Source organism: Homo sapiens, chromosome 14 (genome assembly GCF_000001405.40).
Source record: "Homo sapiens chromosome 14, GRCh38.p14 Primary Assembly".
Classification (NCBI taxonomy): Eukaryota; Metazoa; Chordata; class Mammalia; order Primates; family Hominidae; genus Homo; species Homo sapiens.
The window spans coordinates 31482636-31502931 of record NC_000014.9 but is presented as its reverse complement, the minus strand read 5'-3'; the positions used below and the strand labels follow the sequence as shown (position 1 = coordinate 31502931).

The following is a 20296-nucleotide window of genomic DNA, read 5'->3' as shown; positions in this document are numbered from 1 at the left end:
GAAAGTCAAAACTATACTAATATTGCTTCTTCCATTTTAGCTTTAACATTCAATACTTAAATGCAAACTATTTTCCTTCTACTAGGTAGCGGCTATTTATAATACACTGTGAAATAAGAATACATCTCTTAAACAAACCATCCCTTAGACCTGCACTCTATGGTGGCTATTGGGCACTTGAGTGTGACTTACTGAAACTGATGTATACTCTAAGTGTAAAATACACATCAGATTTTAAAGCCTTAGCACCAAGAAGGACGTAAAATACCTCATCAATATTTTTTGTATGATTACATGCTGAAATGGTAATATTTTGATATATTTGATTATAGCAGTAAAAAAATATGTACTATTAAAATTAATTCTATCTGCTTTTTACATGTAGCTTCTAAAGAATTTTTCATGTGGCTCACACAGTATTTCTATTGGACAACACTGCCTTCACTTTTCACCTGAGTCAGGAGTAACAGTATCAGACTTTATTCCTATCTACTTGGAATATCTTGGGCTTGCACTTTACTTTAAAAGAGGAACAAAAATGTAGCACTCTTACAAGCATGGTTAACAAAATGGAGAATATAAAAGTAATGTTCCCAAAAGTAGCATTTATGCACCTGTTAAATCCTTTCACAACTGTCTTCCAAGCTACCTCTTCCCTTGTCTGTACTAATATTAACATAATAGCCTTCAAACAGATGCAACACATCCTTTTTGATGCCCATTCATGACTGGTTGCCTTTACCATCTCAGTCCTTGCTGGCCAGACTTCCTTCATCTGCTGGAATCTACCTTTTTTTTTTCTTTGCCCAAAAGTTTCTCTGGCCACAAGATCCCACTAGGCTCATGTGTGTGGCAGAGGAAGTACCAAGAAATTACCCACTGGGAGCTTCCTCAAACAGTAACTGACAGGAGCTGATGTGTATATACCCCAGCCCTTCACGCCTTCACACTGCAGGTGAGGTAAGCCAGCAGTATGTGTTCTACACCCGGTGTTTCTCTTCCTTGCTGGGATTCAGCTTTAGTTACCTGCAGCTGTAAACTGTTTAATAATTCACCCTTTGTTGCTCCTGCCTTTCCCTCTCTCTTCCCCACCACTTATTGGATTTCCTGGAATCATTTATTTAGCAAATAAGCTACTTGCTGAGAATCCTTGTCTTGGGGTCTGCTTGTGAAGAACCCAAACTAACATAATTGGTCTTCCCACTTCCACTCTCACCTCTCACTAATCCATCCTCAACCTCAAAAACTGGGCTATCTTTTTAAACAATCGCTGTGACCGTATCACTTCTTACTTACAACTTTTCAGTGATTTTCCACCACTCTTAGACTAAGACTATCTAATAACCTCAGATTCAAGTTTCTTGATATCAATTCCAATGACTGCTTTACTGCCCAAGTTTCTTTGCCACATTCTAGATAATTTGCCATCACTCAGAACTGCTAAACCTCAAAATTTTTAAATTCCAACATCCCACACCTGACCATAGTTTTCTATGTTTATCCAAACACTACTACTCTGCCTGCACTAAGACCTCCAGTCTCTCAAGCTCTCATTTTCTCACCATCTGGCAAGCTCATGATGGCTTTGCACACTCCATATTTCACCTAAACCCCCAGCAACACCACTTTTACTACTCTCTGACTGGCACTCTCAAGTCAGCTGGCCTCCTCCCTTGGTAGTATTAGCTTAGAAGCCATCTGCCCTGAATATTTTGCCATCTCCTTCTGCCCCTACATACAGGCTAGAAGCAAATGCAACAGAATGAGCAGGTCAGAATTTAAAATTTTCCTGATGAGGTATTTTCCGCCTTCTCAGGATAGGGACCACTTGGTCCCTAATCTCAAACAGAGGCTTAATACCACTCAATCATTTTTAATATCTCATTACTTTCCTAGGAAATTGTAAATCTTCATTGCTCTCCAACATCCTGTGTCTGTTTACTCTCAGCAGATTACCTCGAGTCTGAATTGGCAAAAAAGAAAATCTATCCAAAGTCTTAACTCTTTTGCTCCTGCACAAAACTGATATTCTCCTCTTGTGCTCCACAGTCCAACCCTATCTCCTGAGACTGATCCTGAATCCAAGTACTTTCAAGATCTAGGCCAACTTCCCAGCCTCACCTTCTGCCTCTCCTCCAGGTATATCCTGCCTGCAGTTCTGGGAATCCTGTCCAGACATGGAGAGGATATGGAGCCCAATGTGGTGGATCATATCCAGTAAGGTCACCTGCTGGGAGCAGATCCCAGGAAAGAGCCTCCTGAACAAAGCTGAATTCCTATTTCCTTTTTTTTTTTTTTAAATACTTTAAGTTCTGGGACACGTGCAGAATGTGCAGGTTTGTTACATAGGTATACACGTGCCATAGTGGTTTGCTGCACCCATCAACCCGTCATCTACATTAGGTATTTCTCCTAATGCTATCCTTCCACTACTCCCCCACCCACCGACAGGCCCCGGCATGTGATGTTCCCCTCCGTGTGTCCATGTATTCTCATTGTTCATCTCCCACTTATGAGTCAGAACATGCAGTGTTTGATTTTCTGTTCCTGTGTTAGTTTGCTGAGAATGATGGTTCCCAGCTTCCTCCATGTCCCTGCAAAGGACATGAACTCATCCTTTTTTATGGCTCTATAGTATTCCATGGCATATATGTGCCACATTTTCTTTATCCAGTCTATCATTGATGGACATTTGGGTTAGTTCCAAGTCTTTGCTATTGTGAATAGTGCTGTAATAAACATATGTGTGCATGTGTCTTTATAGTAGAATGATTTATAATCCTTTGGGTATATACCCAGTAATGGGATGGCTGGGTCAAATGGTATTTCTGGTTCTAGATCCTTCAGGAATCACCACACTGTCTTCCACAATGGTTGAACTAATTTACACTCCCACCAACAGTGTAAAAGTGTTCCTATTTCGCCACATCCTCTCCAGCATCTGTTGTTTCCTGACTTTTTAATGATCACCATTCTGACATGAAATGGTATCCCATTGTGGTTTTGATTTGCGTTTCTCTAATGACCAGTGATGTGAGCTTTTTTTCATATGTTTGTTGGCCACATAAATGTCTTCTGTTGAGAAGTGTCTGTTCATATCCTTTGCCTATTTTTTGATGGGGTTGTTTTTTCTTGTAAATTTGTTTAAGTTCCTTGTAGACTCTGGATGTTAGACCTTTGTCAGATGGATACATTGCAAAATTTCTCTCCCATTCCATAGGTTGCTGTTCACTCTGATGATAGTTTCTTTTGCTGTGCAGAAGCTCTTTAGTTTAATTAGATGCCATTTGTCAATTTTGGCTTTTGTTGCCACATTGCTTTTGGTGTTTTAGTCATGAAGTCTTTGCCCTTGCCTATGTCCTGAATGGTATTGCCTAGGTTTTCTTCTAGAGTTTTTATGGTTTTAGGTTTTACATTTAAGGCTTTAATCCATTGTGAGTTAATTTTTGTATAAGGTGTAAGGAAGGGGTACAGTTTCATTCTGCATATGTCTAGCCAGTTTTTCCAGCACCATTTATTAAATAGGGAATCCTTTTCCCATTTCTTGTTTTTGTCAGGTTTGTCGAAGATCAGATGGTTGTAGATGCATGGTGTTATTTCTGAGGTCTTGGTCCTGTTCCATTGGTCTATATATCTCTTTTGGTACCAGTACCATGCTGTTTTGGTTACAGTAGCCTTGTAGTATAGTTTGAAGTCAGGTAGCATAGTATCTCCAGCTTTGTTCTTTTTGCTTAGAATTGTCTTGGCTATGTGGGCTCTTTTTTGGTTCCATATGAAATTTAAAGTAGTTTTTTCTAATTCTGTGAAGAAAGTCAATGGTAGCTTGATGGGAATAGCATTGAATCTATAAATTACTTTGGGCAGTAGGGCCATTTTCACTATATTGATTCTTCCTATCCATGAACATGGAATGTTTTTCCATTTGTATCCTCTCTTATTTCCTTGAGCAGTGGTTTGTAGTTTTACTTGAAGAGGTCCTTTATGTCCCTTGTAAGTTGTATTCCTAGGTATTTTATGTTCTTTGTAGCAATTGTGAATGGGAGTTCACTCATGATTTGGCTCTCTATTATTGGTGTCTAGGAATGCTTGTGGTTTTTGCACATTGATTTTGTATCCTAAGACTTTGCTGAAGTTGCTTAAGGAGTTTTTGGGCTGAGATGATGGGGTTATCTAAATATACAATCATGTCATCTGCAAATAGAGACAATTTGACTTCCCCTCTTCCTGTATGAATACCCTTTATTTCTTTCTCTTGCCTAATTACCCTGGCCACAACTTCCAATACTATGTTGAATAGGAGTGGTGAGAGAGGGCATCCTTGCCTTGGGCCAGTTTTCAAAGGGAATGCTTCCAGATTTTGCCCTTTCAGTATGATATTGGCTATGAGTTTGTCATATATAGCTCTTATTATTTTGAGATGCGTTCCATCAATACCTTGTTTATTGAGTATTTTTGGCAAGGAGGGGTGTTGAATTTTATTGATGGCCTTTTCTGCATCTAGTGAAATAATCATGTGGTTTTTATCATTAGTTCTGTTTATGTGACTGATTATGTTTATTGATTTGCATATGTTGAACCAGCCCTGCATCCCAGGGATGAAGCCAACTTGATTGTGATGAATAAGCTTTCGATGTGCTGCTGGATTTGGTTTGCCAGTACTGTATTGAGGATTTTCGCGTCAATGTTCATCAGGGATATTGGCCTGAAATTTTTTTTTGTTGTTATGTCTCTGCCAGGTTTTAGTATCTGGCCTCATAAAAATGAGTTAGGGAGGAGTCCGTCTTTTTCTGTTGTTTGGAATGGTTTCAGAAGGAATGGTACCAGCTCCTCTTTGTACCTCTGGTAGAATTCAGCTGTAAATCCATCTGGTCCTGGGCTTTTTTTTGGTTGGTAGGCTATTAATTACTGCCTCAATTTCAGAACTTGTTATTGGTCTATTCAGGGATTCAACTTCTTCCTTGTTAATTCTTGGGAGGGTGTATGTGTCCAGGAATTTATCCATTTCTTTTAGATTTTCTAGTTTATTTGCATAGAGGTGTTTATAGTATTCTCTGATGGTAGTTTTTATTTCTGTGAGATCAGTGGTGATATACCCTTTATCATTTTTTATTGTGTGTATTTGATTCTTCTCTCTTTTCTTCTTTAATAGTCTGGCTAGCAGTCTATCTATTTTGTTAACCTTTTCAAAAACCAGTTCCTGGATTCATTGATTTTTTTAAGGGTTTTTTGTGTCTCTATTTCCTTCAGTTCTGCTCTGATTTTAGTTATTTCTTGTCTTCTGCTAACTTTTGAATTTGTTTGCTCTTGCTTCTCTAGTTCTCTTAATTGTGATATGAGGGTGTCAATTTTAGATCTTTCCCGCTTTCTGATGTGGGCATTTAGTGCTATAAATTTCCCTCTTAACACTGCTGTAGCTGTGTCCCAGAGATTCTGGTACATTGTGTCTTTGTTCTCATTGGTTTCAAATTATTTATTTATTTCTGCCTTAATTTTGTTATTTACCCAGTAGTCATTCAGGAGCAGGTTGTTCAGTTTCCATGTAGTTGTGGAGTTTTGAGTGAGTTTCTTAATCCTGAGTTCTAATTTGATTGCACTGTGGTCTGAGAGACTGTTTGTTATGATTTCCATTCATTTGGATTTGCTGAGGAGTGTTTTACTTCTAATTATGTGGTCAATTTTAGAATAAGTGCTATGTGGCACTGAGAATAATGTATATTCTGTTGTTTTGGGGTGGAGAATTCTGTAGACATCTATTAGGTCCACTTGCTCCAGAGCTGAGTTCAAGTGCTGCATATCCTTGTTAATTTTCTGCCTCATTGATCTGTCTAATACTGACAGTGGGATGTTAAAATTTCCCACTATTATTGTGTGGGAGTCGAAGTCTCTTTGTAGGTCTCTAAGAGCTTGCTTTATGAATCTGGGTGCTCCTGTATTGCATGCATATACATTTAGGATAGTTAGCTCTTCTTGTTGCATTGATCCTTTTATCATTATGTAATGCCCTTCTTTGTCTTTTTTGATCTTTTTTGGTTTAAAGTCTATTTTATCAGAGACTAGGATTGCAACCCCTGCTTTTTTTTTTTTTTCCATTTGCTTGGTAAATATTCCTCCATCCCTTTATTTTGAGCCTATGTTGTGTCTTTGCACATGAGATGGGTCTCCTGAATACAGCACACTGATGGGTCTTGACTCTTTATCCAATTTGCCAGTCTGTGTCTTTTAATTGGGGCATTTTTCCCATCTACATTTAAGGTTAATATTGTTATATGTGAATTTGATCCTTTCATCATGATGCTAGCTAGTTATTTTGCACAATAGTTGATGCAGTTTCTTCATAGTGTCATTGGTCTTTATGTTTTGGTGTGTTTTTGCAGTGGCTGGGACTGGTTTTTCCTTTCCATAGTTAGTGCTTCCTTCAGGAGCTCTTGTAAGGCAGGCCTGGTGGTAACAAAATCCCTCAGCATTTGCTTATCTGTAAAGGATTTTATTTCTCCTTTGCTTATAAAGCTTAGTTTGGCTGGATATGAAATTCTGGGTTGAAAATTCTCTTCTTTAAGAATGTTGAATATTGGCCCCCACTCTTCTGGCTTGTAGGGTTTCTGCAGAGAGATCTGCTGTTAGTCTGATGGGCTTCCCTTTGTAGGTGACCTGACCTTTCTCTCTGGCTGCTCTTAGCATTTTTTCCTTCATTTCAACCTTGGAGAATCTGAAGATTATGTGTCTTGGGGTTGCTCTTCTCAAGGAGTATCTCAGTGGTGTTCTCTGCATTTCCTTTATTTGAATGTTGGCCTGTCTTGCTAGGTTGGGGATGTTCTCCTGGATAATATCCTGAAGAGTGTTTTCCAACTTGGTTCCATTCTCCCCGTCACTTTCAGGTATACTAATCAATCATAGGTTTGGTCTTTTCACATAGTCCCATATTACCTGGAGGCTTTGTTCATTCCTTTTCATTCTTTTTTCTCTAATCTTGTTTTCACGCTTTATTTCATTAAGTTGATCTTCAATCTCTGATATCCTTTCTTCCGCTTGATCAGTTCGGCTATTGATACCTGTGTATGCTTCACGAATTTCTCTTGCTGTGTTTCTCAGTTCCATCAGTTCATTTATGTGAGTGAGACCACTTGGCTCCCTGGCTTCAGCCTGCTTTCCAGAAGAGTGAACAGTTCTGTCTTGCTGGGGTTCCAGGCGCCATTGGGGTATGAAAAAAAACTTCCTGCAGCGAGCTCGGTGTCTGCCAAAACTGGCTTTTCTAGTTAGCAGTTCTTGTAATCTTTTATCAAGGCTCTTAGTTTCCTTGCATTGGGTTAGAACATGCTCTTTTAGCTCAGAGGAGTTTGTTATTACCCACCTTCTGAAGCCTACTTCTGCCAATTTGTCAAACTCATTCTCCGTCCCATTTTGTGCCCTTGCTGGAGAGGAGTTGCTATCATTTGGAGGAGAAGAAGCATTCTGGTTTATGGAATTTTCAGCATTTTTGTGCTGGGTTTTCCTCATATTTGTGGATTTATCTACCTTTAATCTTTGATGCTGATGGTCTTTGGATGGTGTTTTTGTGTGGGTGTCCTTTTTGTTGATGTTGATGTTATTGCTTTCTGTCTGTTAGTTTTCCTTCTAACAGTCAGGCCCCTCTTCTGCAGGTCTGCTGGAGTTTGCTGGAGGTCCACTCCAGACCCTGTTTGCCTGAGTATCACCAGTGGAGGCTGCAGAACAGCAAAGACTGCTGCCTGCTCCTTCCTCTGGAAGCTTCTTCCCAGAGGGGCACCTGCCTAATGCCAGCCAGAGCTCTCCTGTATGAGGTGTTTGCCAACTCCTGCTGGGAGGTGTTTCCCAGTCAGGAGGCACAGGAGGCAGGGAGCCACTTGAGGAGGCAGTCTGTCCCTTAGCATAATTCGAGCACTGTGCTGGAAGATCCACTGCTCTCTTCAGAGCTGGCAGGCAGGAACGTTTTAGTCTGCTGAAGCTGCAACCACAGCCACCCCTTCTGTCCCAGGGAGGTGGGAGTTTTATCTTTAAGCCCCTGACTGGGGCTGCTGCCTTTCTTTCAGAGATGCCCTCCCCAGGGAGAAGGAACCTAGAGAGGCAGTCTGGCCACAGCCACTTTGCCACGCTGTGGTGAATTCTGCACAGTCCAAACTTCTGGCAGTTTCCTTAACACTGTGAGGGGAAAACTGCCTACCCAAGCCTCAGTGATGGTGGACGTCCCTCCCCCCACCAAGCTCCATCATCCCCGGTCAACTTCAGACTGCTGTGCTGGCAGCAAGCATATCACGCCAGTGGTTCTTAGCTTACTGGGCTCTGTGGGAGTGTGAACTGCTGAGTGAGACCACTTGGCTCCCTGGCTTCAGCCCCCTTTCCAGAAGAGTGAACAGTTCTGTCTTGCTGGGGTTCCAGGCGCCATTGGGGTATGAAAAAAAACTTCCTGCAGCTAGCTCGGTGTCTGCCAAAACAGCTGCCTAGTTTTGTACTTGAAACCCAGGCCCCTGATGGTGCAGGCATACAAGGGAATCTCCTGGTCTGGGGGTTGCAAAAAGTGTGGGAGAAGCATAGTATCTGGGTCAAACAGCACAGTCCCTCATGGCTTCCCTTGGCTAGGAGAGGGAGGTCCCCAGCCTCTTGCACTTCCCAGGTGAGGCGATGCCCCACCTGCTCTTGCTTGCCCTCTGTGGGCTGCACCCATTGCCTAATCAGTCTGAATGAGATGAACTGGGTACCTCAGTTGGAAATACAGAAGTCACCTGCCTTCTATGTTGGTCTTGCTAGGAGCTGCAGATGGGAGCTGTTCGTATTTGGCCATCTTGATTTGGCTCCTCAAAGAACTTTTTAATTTCCATTTTGATTTCGTTTTTGACCCAATGCTCATTGAGGAGCCGGTTATTTAATTTCCATGTATTTGCATGGTTTTGAAGTTTATTTCTGGTTGATTTTCAGTTTTATTCCACTGTGGTCTGAGAGAGTGCTTGCTATAATTTCAATTTTCTTAAATTTATTGAGTCTTGTTTTATGGCCTATCATATGGCCTATCCTGGAGAAAGTTCCATGCACTGTTGAATGGAATGTGTATTCTGCAGTTGTTGGATGAAATGTTCTGTACATAGCTGTTAAGTCCATTTGTTCCAAGGTATAGTTTAAATCCAATGTTTCCTTGTCAACTTTCTGTCTTGGTAACCTGTCTAGTGCTGTTAGTGGAGTATTGAAGTCCCCCACTGTTATTGTATTGCTGCCTATCTCATTTCTTAAGTCTATTAGTAATTGTTTTATAAATTTGGGAGCTCCATTGTTAGGTGCATATATGTTTAGGATTGTGATATTTTCCTGTTGGACAAGGCCTTTTACCATTATATAACGTCCCTCTTTGTCTCTTTTAACTGATGTTGCTTTAAAGTTTGTTTTTTCTGACATAAGAATAGCTAGCCCTGCTTGCTTTTGGTGTCCATTTGCATGCAATGCCTTTTTCCACCCCTTTACTTAAGTTTATGTGCGTCCTTATGTGTTAGGTGAGTCTCCTGAAGGCAGCAGATGGTTGGTGAGTTCTTTCTTATCCATTCTGTAGTTCTGTATCTTTTAAGTGGAGAGTTTAGGCCATTTGCATTCAATGTTCTATTTTTGTGCTGGTTGGTCTCCGGCTGGAAGGTGGTGCTTTCCAGAGAGCATCAGCTGTGGTAATATGAAGAGGAACCAGCAGTGAGTGGGGTCCTAGAACTCCCAAGAGTATATTCCCTTTGTCTTCAGCTACCAGGGAGGGTAGGAAAGGCCCATGGGGGGGGGCAGGACAAGGCACGTCTGACCTCAGACTCTCCTTGGGTGCTTGGGTGGGTCTTGCTGCAGCTGCTGTGGAGATGGGGGCGAGGTTCCCAGGTCAATGGAGTTGTGTACCTAGAAGGATTATGGCTGCCTCTGCTGAGTCATGCAGGTTGTCAGGGAAGTGGGATAAAGCTGGCAGTCACAGGCCTCACCCAGGTCCCACACAATCCAAAGGGCCATTCTCATTCCCACTGTGCCATCCCTAACAGCCACGAGTCTGTTTCCAGGCAGTGAGCAAGCAGGGCTTGAGAACTTGCCCCAGGCTACCCGCCTCCCAGCTGCAAAAGAAAAGGGTTTGGTTCCTCCCTCACCTGTGGAGTCTGGATGCCGGATTCACACCCTCGCCAGAGTTCTGGCCAGGAGGCTTCTTGCCCAGGTCAAATTGTTACAAAGTTTAGCTGGAGACTTCCTTCTCCCTGTGGCATCCCCCACCCCACTCCCCCACACCTCTGGCTGCCCTCCCAAAAGGATCCCTGTGGGGCCAGGCAGGAAAGGCCTGCTTGGGGACCCAGCAAGTTCCCAGGACCTTTCCTGTTCCTCTGCTGCATAATTCACTTGCCTCTCTAAATTGCCTCAGCTCCTGGTAAGGTGTGAAACTTCCCACAAACTAGACGTTCATTTTCCCTAGTGGGGTTGTGTGTTCTGGAGAGGAGGGTCTCCCTTTCCCACTTCTGCAGTTTGGGCACTCACAGTATTTGGGGTGTCTCCTGGGTCCTGCAGGAGCAGTCTGCTTCCTTCAGAGGGTCTGTGGGTCCTCTTGGGATTCCTGCTTTGTTCCTGCAGTCGTTCTGGAGCTAAAATTCATGATGTGAGCCTCCACACACTGCTCTGTCCGTCCGAGTTAGAGCTGCAATCTAGTCCTGTCTCCCATCTGCCATGATGATCTCACATTTCTATGTTTTAATATTCTGCATAGCACTGTAGTGCTTGCTGATGTTTCTCTTCTTTCTGTGTTTATTTACTGTTTTTGTTTTGTTTTGTTTTTTTGTTTTTGAGATGGAATTTCACTCTTGTTGCCCAGGCTGGAGGGCAACGGCGTGATCTCGGCTCATGGCAACCTCTGCCTCACGGGTTCAAACGATTCTCCTGCCTCAGCCTCTCGAGTAGCTGGGATTACAACACCCAGTTAATTTTTTTTTTTTTTTTGTATTTTTAGTAAAGATGGGGTTTCATTATGTTGGCCAGGCTGGTCTTGAACTCCTGACCTCAGGCGATCCACCCTCCTCAGCCCCCAAAGTGCTGGGATTACAGGCATGAGCCACCGTATCTGCCTCTATTTACTGGTTTAATGCTCACTTCTCCCCACTAGAATGTAAGCTCCATAAGAATACAGCTCTTATCACTGTCTCTCCCCAGTGGCAAGAATAGTGCTTCAAATACAATAAATACTTGGTAAACATTGCATGAATGAAATCTCAGGAACACCTTGTATGTTTTTAAAGATTTCCAGGTGAGTGTGACTTCAGCCAGGCTAGAAAGCACTGGAGTGACACCTGCATTGTCACTGTCACTATGCTGGAATATGGAGGGTGGTGAGAAGTGACCTTGAAAAGTACAGAACCAGGCCAGAAAAATGAAGCATTGCTCTCTTCAGCTTTGCCTTTAAGCATACTGTTTCCAAGACCCAGAATATGCCCTCCCCAACATCCCTAAGCTATTGAGTTCAGGTATCACCTTTAATAACTACAAACATTAAGGGCAATTATTTTGAAGTACTTACTTTATTTTCCCCAGTCTCAAATACTGTCTTACATGCAATAGATACTCAATGAATGTTTCTTGAATTGCATTGCTCAGAGATTTGCTCCAGCCCACTGGACTTGCAGGTGTTCTCTACTACAACTTACATAATATTAATGTTAGCTGAGGAGAGCAAAGATCACCTGGTGGTCAGCAAGCAGACCATCTGGAGGCAAAACTCCTTATCTGAGGAATTCAGAAGTAATTAGATGTCCTTCCTATCTAAAGCTGGCATCTGGTACCAGGCTTCTTTCCCAAAAACTTATAAGTAACTAGAATTTCTATAGATCTTCAGACTGCATGCGTGTCAAAACTCACTGTGCAATTCTTACTGATGTCACAGCACCAAAATGTCTACAAATGTAATCATTTATCATTACCTGTGTGACTAATATGGTCCAAATTATCCTTAAGCTCCTGCTTGAAGGTCCATAAATACCCCTAAGGAAAATCCACTGCAGCTCCCTCAGTCCTCTCTTGCCGAAGCGCCCGCCCATTGCACTCTGCCACAGTGTTCTTTCCATCTAATACAACTTTCCTTTTCAAACCTATACTTTTGTTGGTAAATTCTTTTTACCACCTTCAAGCCGATCACTCTCTGTGGCAAGGCTCTGACACCCCACCTGGCATTAGCTATCATATATTTAATACATATCATGTGCCAGGTACTGTGCTAAACCCTTACCTATAGGGGTTTGGGCCACAATCCCAAATGTTGAAATCCTAAAAGATCAAAATTCTGAAAAAAAAAATTCTAAAAAAAATTTTTTAAGTTCTTTAAAGGCATTTACATTTTTAAAAGATTTATTTGAGAAACATATTGGCCAGGTGAAGTGGCTCATGCCTATAATCCCAGCATTTCGGGAGGCCAAGGCAGGAGAATCACTTGAGCCCAGGAGTTCAATATCAGCCTGGGCAAGATAGTGAAACCTCGTCTCTACAAAAAATAAAAAAATAGCCCACTGCAGTGGCATACGCCTGTAGTCCCAGTGACTTGGGGAGGCTGAAGTGGGAAGATCACTTAAGCCTGGGAGGTCAAGACTGCAGTCAGTCGTGATCACTCCACCACACTCCAGCCTGGATGATAGAGAGAGACATTGTCTCTTAAAAACAGCATCAACAACAAAACAAAGTAACAAAAACAACAGAACACTTTATAGGCCACTTTACACAATAAAATAGGCAATAATAACATACATATTTTTGCAAGCATAAACAAGTATACTAAGGACAGTCATCCAGGCACAACATTTATAAGCAGACAAATCATATTCATAAATAACTTACACAACTGCAGTCATCTGAAATACTTATAGAATGGGAGTTAGATGAATTTAACTCCTTGGTCTCTTCCAACTCTAAAAATTATATGCATCTATGAGTTACTAGCCTTTCACACATTTGGTTCAGCAGTACCATCTGCTTCTGCATTTCTGCTTCAAACAGTGGTTATATCAAAACAACATAAAACTGTTTCCATTTCCATAAGTTCTTTTTTGAAATCATCTGACTTGATTTGAAATATGAAAAGTGAACTGAAAGAAGCCACATTACTAAAGCCACAGAAGAGAATTACTTCCTCAAATACACTCTGTGTATTTCCTAACATTGTTAATATCATTGGTTTAATCACCTATGGGAGGAAAATACTCACTATTAAGGGTATTTCTGAGGAGAGATATATAATAATCAAATTTTAGGCTATCTAATGGTTGTACTAGCCCTAGTACATATTTGAGGAGAAAAGTTAAGAACTAGTCCCTAATATATTTGTTATTTATGAATTTTAGAAATTATAGAATTGAGAAACAGAGAGTGAGGGGAGAAGAGGAAAAGCCTGGCCCAAATTCCTTTTTTTAATTGAGAAGATAGCATAAGAAGGAGCCCTTAGCTTTTCTTGGTGAAAACCTTTTGTAATTCATTTAACCTCTCTGAGTCTCAGTTTGCTAATCTTCAGAATTAGTGGGTTTGGACCAAATAATATCTCAGATTGCTTCCAAATCTGTGAATTAACCCCAAGGGTATGAAAGCCTGTCAAAATTCCTTTTAAAATCCCTTTTAAAACACAGTAGCAGGTTTGAAAATTTATCCTTAACCTGCAAAGATCAGTTCTTAGGTTGAAGGTCACAGCCACAAATGAATTAAGAACTGAAATTTAAGCCTATTTTTAATAAGGCTACAATCTAGCAGTTAAAGTTTTAAAATTCTAAGTCTAACAAAGACTGGGTAATGGTTTTGATTCCTAAACTCTTGACCACCAACGCTGCACAGTGGTTTTGATGTATTTTCTCCACTGGTAATGAAGAGATGAAGAGGAAAGCAGGCAGGAAAAAAATCAGGACACTGAGGTCAGCACAGAAGGGGATCCAAAAAAAATTTCAGAGATAGATTAGAGAGAAGAACATAGGAAATGTAGAACTCAGTCAGTAATGGTTCATAAATGCATTACCTGTGTTGGAAGATTCCTTATAATGAGATCATCTTCTAGGATGTAGTAACCAATTCTGTTTTTTTCCAACCGTTCTACAACCATCATACAAATGCAGATTGTTCTGCCTGTCAGTCTTCATCAACCCAAACTGAATAATATAAATCTCTGGCCTGTCCTCATAAATTCCATTTTAATGTGAAACTCAGTATTTAAGTTTTTCCTTCTAACTATTTTCTGTCCAGAAAGATTAGATAGCTCATTTCCAGAGTTTATTTTGGTCTCTGCCTGATATTTACCACCTCCTTATGTACCCAACACCATCCATCCATCTGCTAATAAACACCCTAGAGTTGAGGCAGAGTGGGTGCCTGGCGGGATGACCCAATACGAGAAGGGAATTAACACCCGAAACAAGTTTATTAACCTTTTAAATGAAATGACTTAGCTTATGCAATTCATTCTCTCTCTCTCTCTCTCTTTTGAGAGGCAGGGTCTCACTCTGTTGCCCAGGCTGGAGTGTGGTGGCTATTCACCACCATGATCATAGCACACTGCAGCCTCGAACTCCCGGGCTCAAGTGATCCTCCTGCCTCAGCCTCTCCTCCTGAGTAGCTAGTGCTACAGGTGTGCCAGGTGTGCACCACCAGGCCCGGCTATTTTTTTTTTTTATTTTGGTCTCTAACTCCTGGCTTCAAGTTGTCCTCCTGCCTCGGCCTCAGAAAGCACTGGGACTACAGGTGTGAGCCACTGCACTTGGTCACTTACAGATTTTTTTTAATGCCCCTCAAAATGGAGAAATAATTTGAAGAAGTACTCATTTCTCTATACCTCTATAGCAGTAAATTCCACAGAAAAAAAGGAACCAAAAAGAGGAAAAGACCTCACTGAGTATTTAAATAATAGCAAGTTCAAGCTTGGGGAGTAGCATCAGCAAGAAGAAAGACATATGAAATGAAGGCAAAGTGTCACTGATTTTGTTCACTCTGTTCCTAGTGAGAAATTGATGGTGTAGAGTCACTTTGGCCTGCTCAAGACCAATCTGGCATGAAGATACAGGTCTGAGGTAAGATTCTCTGGACTAGTAGGTTTATCCTAGAGCTATCATCCGAATTGACCCTCTAGGCTTATTGCACATTAGCTTCCCGATGCTCCTGTGGCCTTCCCCTGCGCCAGCAGCTCAGTGTTCCCAAGTGGAGGTGGGGTCTTCCTGAAAGCCGCCTGTGGCTGGGCACGGTGGCTCATGCCTGTAATCCCAGCACTTTGGGAGGCTGAGGCGGGCAGATCACAAGGTCAGGAGTTCAAGACCAGCCTGGCCAATATGGTGAAACCCCATCTCTACTAAAAATACAAAATTTAACCAGGCATGGTGGCAGGTGCCTGTAGTCCCAGCTACTGAGGAGGCTGAGGCAGGAGAATCACTTGAACCCAGGAGGCGGAGGTTGCAGTGAGCCAGGATCACGCCATTGCACTCCAGCCTGGGGGACAGAGCAAGACTCCATCTGAAAAAAAAAAAAAAAAAAAAAAAAACTGAGGGGCTTAGCAGGAGAAAAAGTCTCAACAAGTTATCTGAACTTGCAGAGCTGGTAAGTGGTAGAGGTAGGATACAAACCCAGGTCTGTGGGATGCCAGAGTCTGAGATCTGCCCCATTTATTTATTCTCAAGTACTTTAACATCATTTTAAAGGTGTTTAAGGATGAAGAAATCTCCTGGTTATGTGCAATAAATCAGAATTCCTAGGAAACTTTATATGATATTCAGAATCACTACCAACATTGATCAGAAAAGTTTTACTATGATTTTGCCCATGTTCTACATTACTTTCAGATGTCCTTCTAGAGCTCAGATGCACAATTAAAAAAAAATCTTTCCCATAATTCGGGTATCTAGTTTCTCATATGCACACACATAAAGAGACCACACGCATACAACACAAACACACAAACACTACACATACACACATTCCACAGAAAAACATACAAAGACCACAGACACATACATACACAGAGATCACACAAATACACTGAGATACACATACACTGATCACAGACACACCTCTACACATACTCCATGGATAAAAACACCACAGAGACTTTGATTCCCCAGAACCACCACCAACACAAGACAGCTGAGGGTTAATGGGGAAAAGGGACACTATACCATATCAAAGCATAGCAAATAGATTATAATTATTAGACATTCCTATTTTTAAATCCCCTGTGTCATTTCTGCTTCTCAGAATACTTCATTGACCCTTTCTCCTCTGTAGGGCTCCTAACATCCTGCTGAGTTTTTTTCTGTGCTGCCTGTCTTAAAATCATCCTCGTCTTCCACCCTCTTCTTAAGGTCCCAGGGCCTTCACAAAACCTCTCTCTCAAGTTCTCATTCTTTTATTTGCCATTGCCTGTCCATTTCATATGCTTCAGACTCCACTTTTTATTCCCAAAGAAGACTACTAAGGTATTTTCATGAAGAATCATTTTTCTACTTTAGAGAAAAATTTTGCAACTCCCTTAGAAGGCAGAATTAACTTAGGAAGTTGTGATTTTTGAATAGCAATTATGGCTGGGCACGGCAGCTCATGCCTCTAATCCTAGCACTTTGGGAGGCTGAGGTGGGAGGATCACTTTAGGCCAGGAGTTCAAGACCAGCCTGGGTATCACAGCAAGACCCTTTTCTCTACAAAGAATTTTAAAATTAGCCAAATGTGGTGCTGCACACCTGTGATCCCAGCTATCTGGAGGCTGAGGCGGGAGGATTGATGAAGCCCAGGAGTTCCACGCTGCAGTGAGCTAGGATCGTGCCACTGCACTCCAGCCTGGGTGACAGAGAGAGACCCTGTCTCTAAAAAATAAACAAAAATAAAATAAATAGCAATTATCTTACTTCTCTGTATATATTCTTAGAATGTTTTTGTTTAGTGAGGAAAAAAGCATCATTAGTAATTTCCATTGCTTTATCCAATTTATCTAAAACCAATTTGCTGATATGACTCTGTTATAACAGCTATTTTCCAAAATATTCTCAGGTTTATATTTTTGATACCATGGGATCCATTATCCAAGAAATTGGATATTTTAGATAATCAAACACTCTGATTATCTAAATCATCTGAGCATTATTAAAAACACTACATATGAATTACTGAGTTTCAAAGAAGTAATATAAAACAGTAGTAGAGTTTCCCACCTGGTACAATGGAGGCATGGTGGGAAATATTGATGGATAAGACATGTAACCCTACGAAGCCTCACTTTCCCCTCTGTTCAAAGATTTGCTTCACAGGCTTTGCAAGGAAAAACAGAATTTTTTTTTTTTTTTTTTGAGACAGAGTCTCGCTCTGTCACCAGGCTGGAATGCAGGGGCACCATCTCGGTTCGGCTCACTGCAACCTCTGCCTCCCAGGTTCAAGCGATTGTCCTGCCTCAGCCTCCCGAGTAGCTGGGACTACAAGCACACACCACCACACCCAGCTAATTTTTGTATTTTTGGTAGAGACGGGGTTTCACCATGTTGGCCAGGATGGTCTCGATCTCCTGACCTTGTGATCCGCCCACCTCGGCCTCCCAAAGTGCTGGAATTACAGGCATGAGCCACCGCGCCCGGCCAGAAATGATTTTTATAGAAAGTTCCTGGCATACCACAAATATTGGATAAATATGAGTTTGGTGACTTTTCTCCTTTTTGTCCCCTCCTCAAGAATGAACTATTAATATTACTACATTTGGCCAGGCGCAGTGGCTCACGCCTGTAATCCCAGCACTTTAGGAGGCCAAGGTGGATGGATTACCTGAAGTCAGGAGTTTGAGACCAGCCTGGCCAACATGGCAAAACCCTCTCTCTACCAAAAATACAAAAATTCACCGGGCGTGGTGGCAAGTGTCTGTAATCCCAGCTACTCAGGAGGCTGAGACAGGAGAATAGCTTGAACCCAGGAAGCAGAGTTTGCAGTAAGCCAAGATCATGCTACTGCACTCCAGCCTGCGTGACAAAGCAAGACTCTGACTCAAAAAAAAAAAAAATTACTACATCTTACAATACACTTCCCTCTTTTGTTGATGATTCTGAAGGTACTTCACAATCTTGCAGTGGCTTACAGCTCCCATATGAATATTAGTTATTACTGTTATGTGCTGAGTATTAGAATACTAGACAATAGTATTTACTATATATAATTAGCTCATGAGAGAAATCTAATTATAAAACCCATAACTACTAATTTGCAACATTGCTATTATTTTTGTTATTCAAATTCATTTCATTAGCTACTTTTGCCCTCACAAGTCAAATAAGACTCATTCTACATTGCCTTATTCAAGAAGTTTTGCCCATCAAAAAGTGTCAGACTTCTGGTTAACGTCCAAGTAGAAGATTTTTGGCCACACGCAGTGCCTCACACCTGTCATCCCAACACTTTGCGAGGCCAAGCGGGAAAATCACTTGAGTCCAAAAGTTCAAGACCAGGCTGGGCAACATAGTGAGACCCCATCTCTACAAAACAAACAAACAAAAAAATTATCCGGCCTGGTAGTGTGCACCTGTAGTCCCAACTCCTTGGGAGGCTGAGGCAGGAGGAGTCCTTGAGCCCAGGAGGTTGAGGCTGAGTGAGCTGTAATCACTCCACTGCACTCCAGCCTGGGTGACAGAGTGAGATCCTATCTCAGAAAAAAAAAATAGATTTTTAACTACCTAATTATTGAACAATTGTCAAAATGTCCCAACATTTACTTCTTTTCACATTTATTTCATTTCATCCATATATTTCTATTTTTGATGCTCAGATTCATCTGATCTTAATTCCTCATTAAAACATAAAAGTATAGACCTTAGAAAAATATTTGATTTGCAGAAATATTTTGCTTACTGCTGTTAAAATATTATCATTTGGACTAGAAGTATCACTATGTAAAAAATTACTCTTTAAATTTTTACATTTAACCTTTTCTTTTGCTTTTTCTTGTTGTTATTTTCACTGTTTCTCACTCCACAGGTCATTATGGATCTGATCAACTCTACTGATTACCTGATCAATGCCTCTACTTTAGTAAGAAACAGCACTCAGTTTCTAGCTCCTGCATCAAAAATGATTATTGCCCTTTCTTTGTACATTTCATCTATAATTGGTACCATCACCAATGGCCTCTATCTATGGGTGCTAAGATTCAAGATGAAACAGACTGTCAATACTCTCTTATTTTTTCATCTCATTCTCTCTTATTTTATTTCAACAATGATTCTGCCATTTATGGCCACCTCCCAACTTCAAGACAATCACTGGAACTTTGGAACTGCCTTGTGCAAGGTCTTCAATGGCACTTTGTCTCTGGGGATGTTCACCTCTGTTTTCTTCCTTTCGGCCATCGGTCTTGATCGTTACCTTCTCACTCTTCACCCAGTGTGGTCCCAGCAGCACCGAACCCCGCGCTGGGCTTCCAGCATTGTCCTGGGAGTCTGGATTTCAGCCGCTGCCCTCAGCATCCCCTATTTGATTTTCAGAGAGACACATCATGACCGTAAAGGAAAGGTGACTTGCCAAAATAACTATGCTGTGTCTACTAACTGGGAAAGCAAGGAGATGCAAGCATCAAGGCAGTGGATTCATGTGGCCTGTTTCATCAGCCGCTTCTTGCTGGGCTTTCTTCTGCCTTTCTTCATCATCATCTTTTGTTATGAAAGAGTAGCCAGCAAGGTGAAAGAGAGGAGCCTGTTTAAATCCAGCAAGCCCTTCAAAGTTATGATGACTGCCATTATCTCTTTCTTTGTGTGTTGGATGCCCTACCATATACACCAGGGCTTACTTCTCACTACGAACCAGTCACTACTTTTAGAGTTGACTTTGATACTTACAGTGCTAACCACTTCTTTCAATACTATCTTTTCTCCCACACTCTACTTATTTGTTGGGGAGAATTTCAAAAAGGTCTTCAAGAAGTCCATTCTTGCTCTGTTTGAGTCAACATTTAGTGAAGATTCTTCTGTAGAAAGGACACAAACCTAAACTCAGAAGCCTAAATTTAAATTCTAGATTCTTAAGCAAACACGCACTTGGTCAATTATACCAATAGGATATACCTTCTGCTTTTGTATGCTATAGTCCCTATATTAGAGAGATAACTAGGCTGTACTATAGTTAGATTTCTGAGCAATAAAAGGGCTGCAAGAAAACAAGCAATTTGCAAGATCATGCTGCAAATGTGATTCTTTTCTTTTCTTTTCTTTTCTTTGAGGCAGAGTCTCACTCTGTCGTCCAGGCTGGAGTTCAGTGTGCAATCTAGGTTCACTGCAAACTCCACCTCCCAGGTTCAAGTGATTCTTATGCCTCAGCC

General features: G+C 41.4%; 1 protein-coding gene and 1 long non-coding RNA gene across 4 annotated transcripts in view, besides 1 other annotated feature; one reads left to right on the top strand and one right to left on the bottom strand.

The window, feature by feature from the left end:
• Positions 1-12968, bottom strand: part of LOC105370438 (uncharacterized) — a 68133-nt gene extending 55165 nt beyond the window's left edge. For all 3 annotated transcript variants that reach the window (XR_943722.3, XR_943723.3, XR_943724.3), the window contains exon 1: positions 12829-12968. This is a non-coding gene — a long non-coding RNA (uncharacterized LOC105370438). The remainder of the gene's footprint in view (positions 1-12828) is intronic.
• Positions 9235-10434: an enhancer, noted in NCBI's record as "MED14-independent group 3 enhancer chr14:31961704-31962903 (GRCh37/hg19 assembly coordinates)". NCBI's record gives its function as "activates an origin of replication core promoter dependent on BRD2, BRD4, P300/CBP and CDK7 cofactors, and independent of MED14, by STARR-seq in HCT116 cells {active_cell/tissue: HCT116}" and the evidence as "EXISTENCE:reporter gene assay evidence [ECO:0000049][PMID:35650434]".
• Positions 12969-14892: 1924 nt separating the features above from the next.
• Positions 14893-20057, top strand: GPR33 (G protein-coupled receptor 33). The gene is made up of 2 exons (NM_001197184.3): positions 14893-15035; positions 18961-20057. The coding sequence occupies exon 2, from the start codon at positions 18967-18969 to the stop codon at positions 19966-19968; it is 1002 nt and encodes a 333-aa protein (NP_001184113.2). The 5' UTR covers positions 14893-15035; positions 18961-18966; the 3' UTR covers positions 19969-20057.
• The last annotated feature ends 239 nt before the right edge of the window (positions 20058-20296 follow it).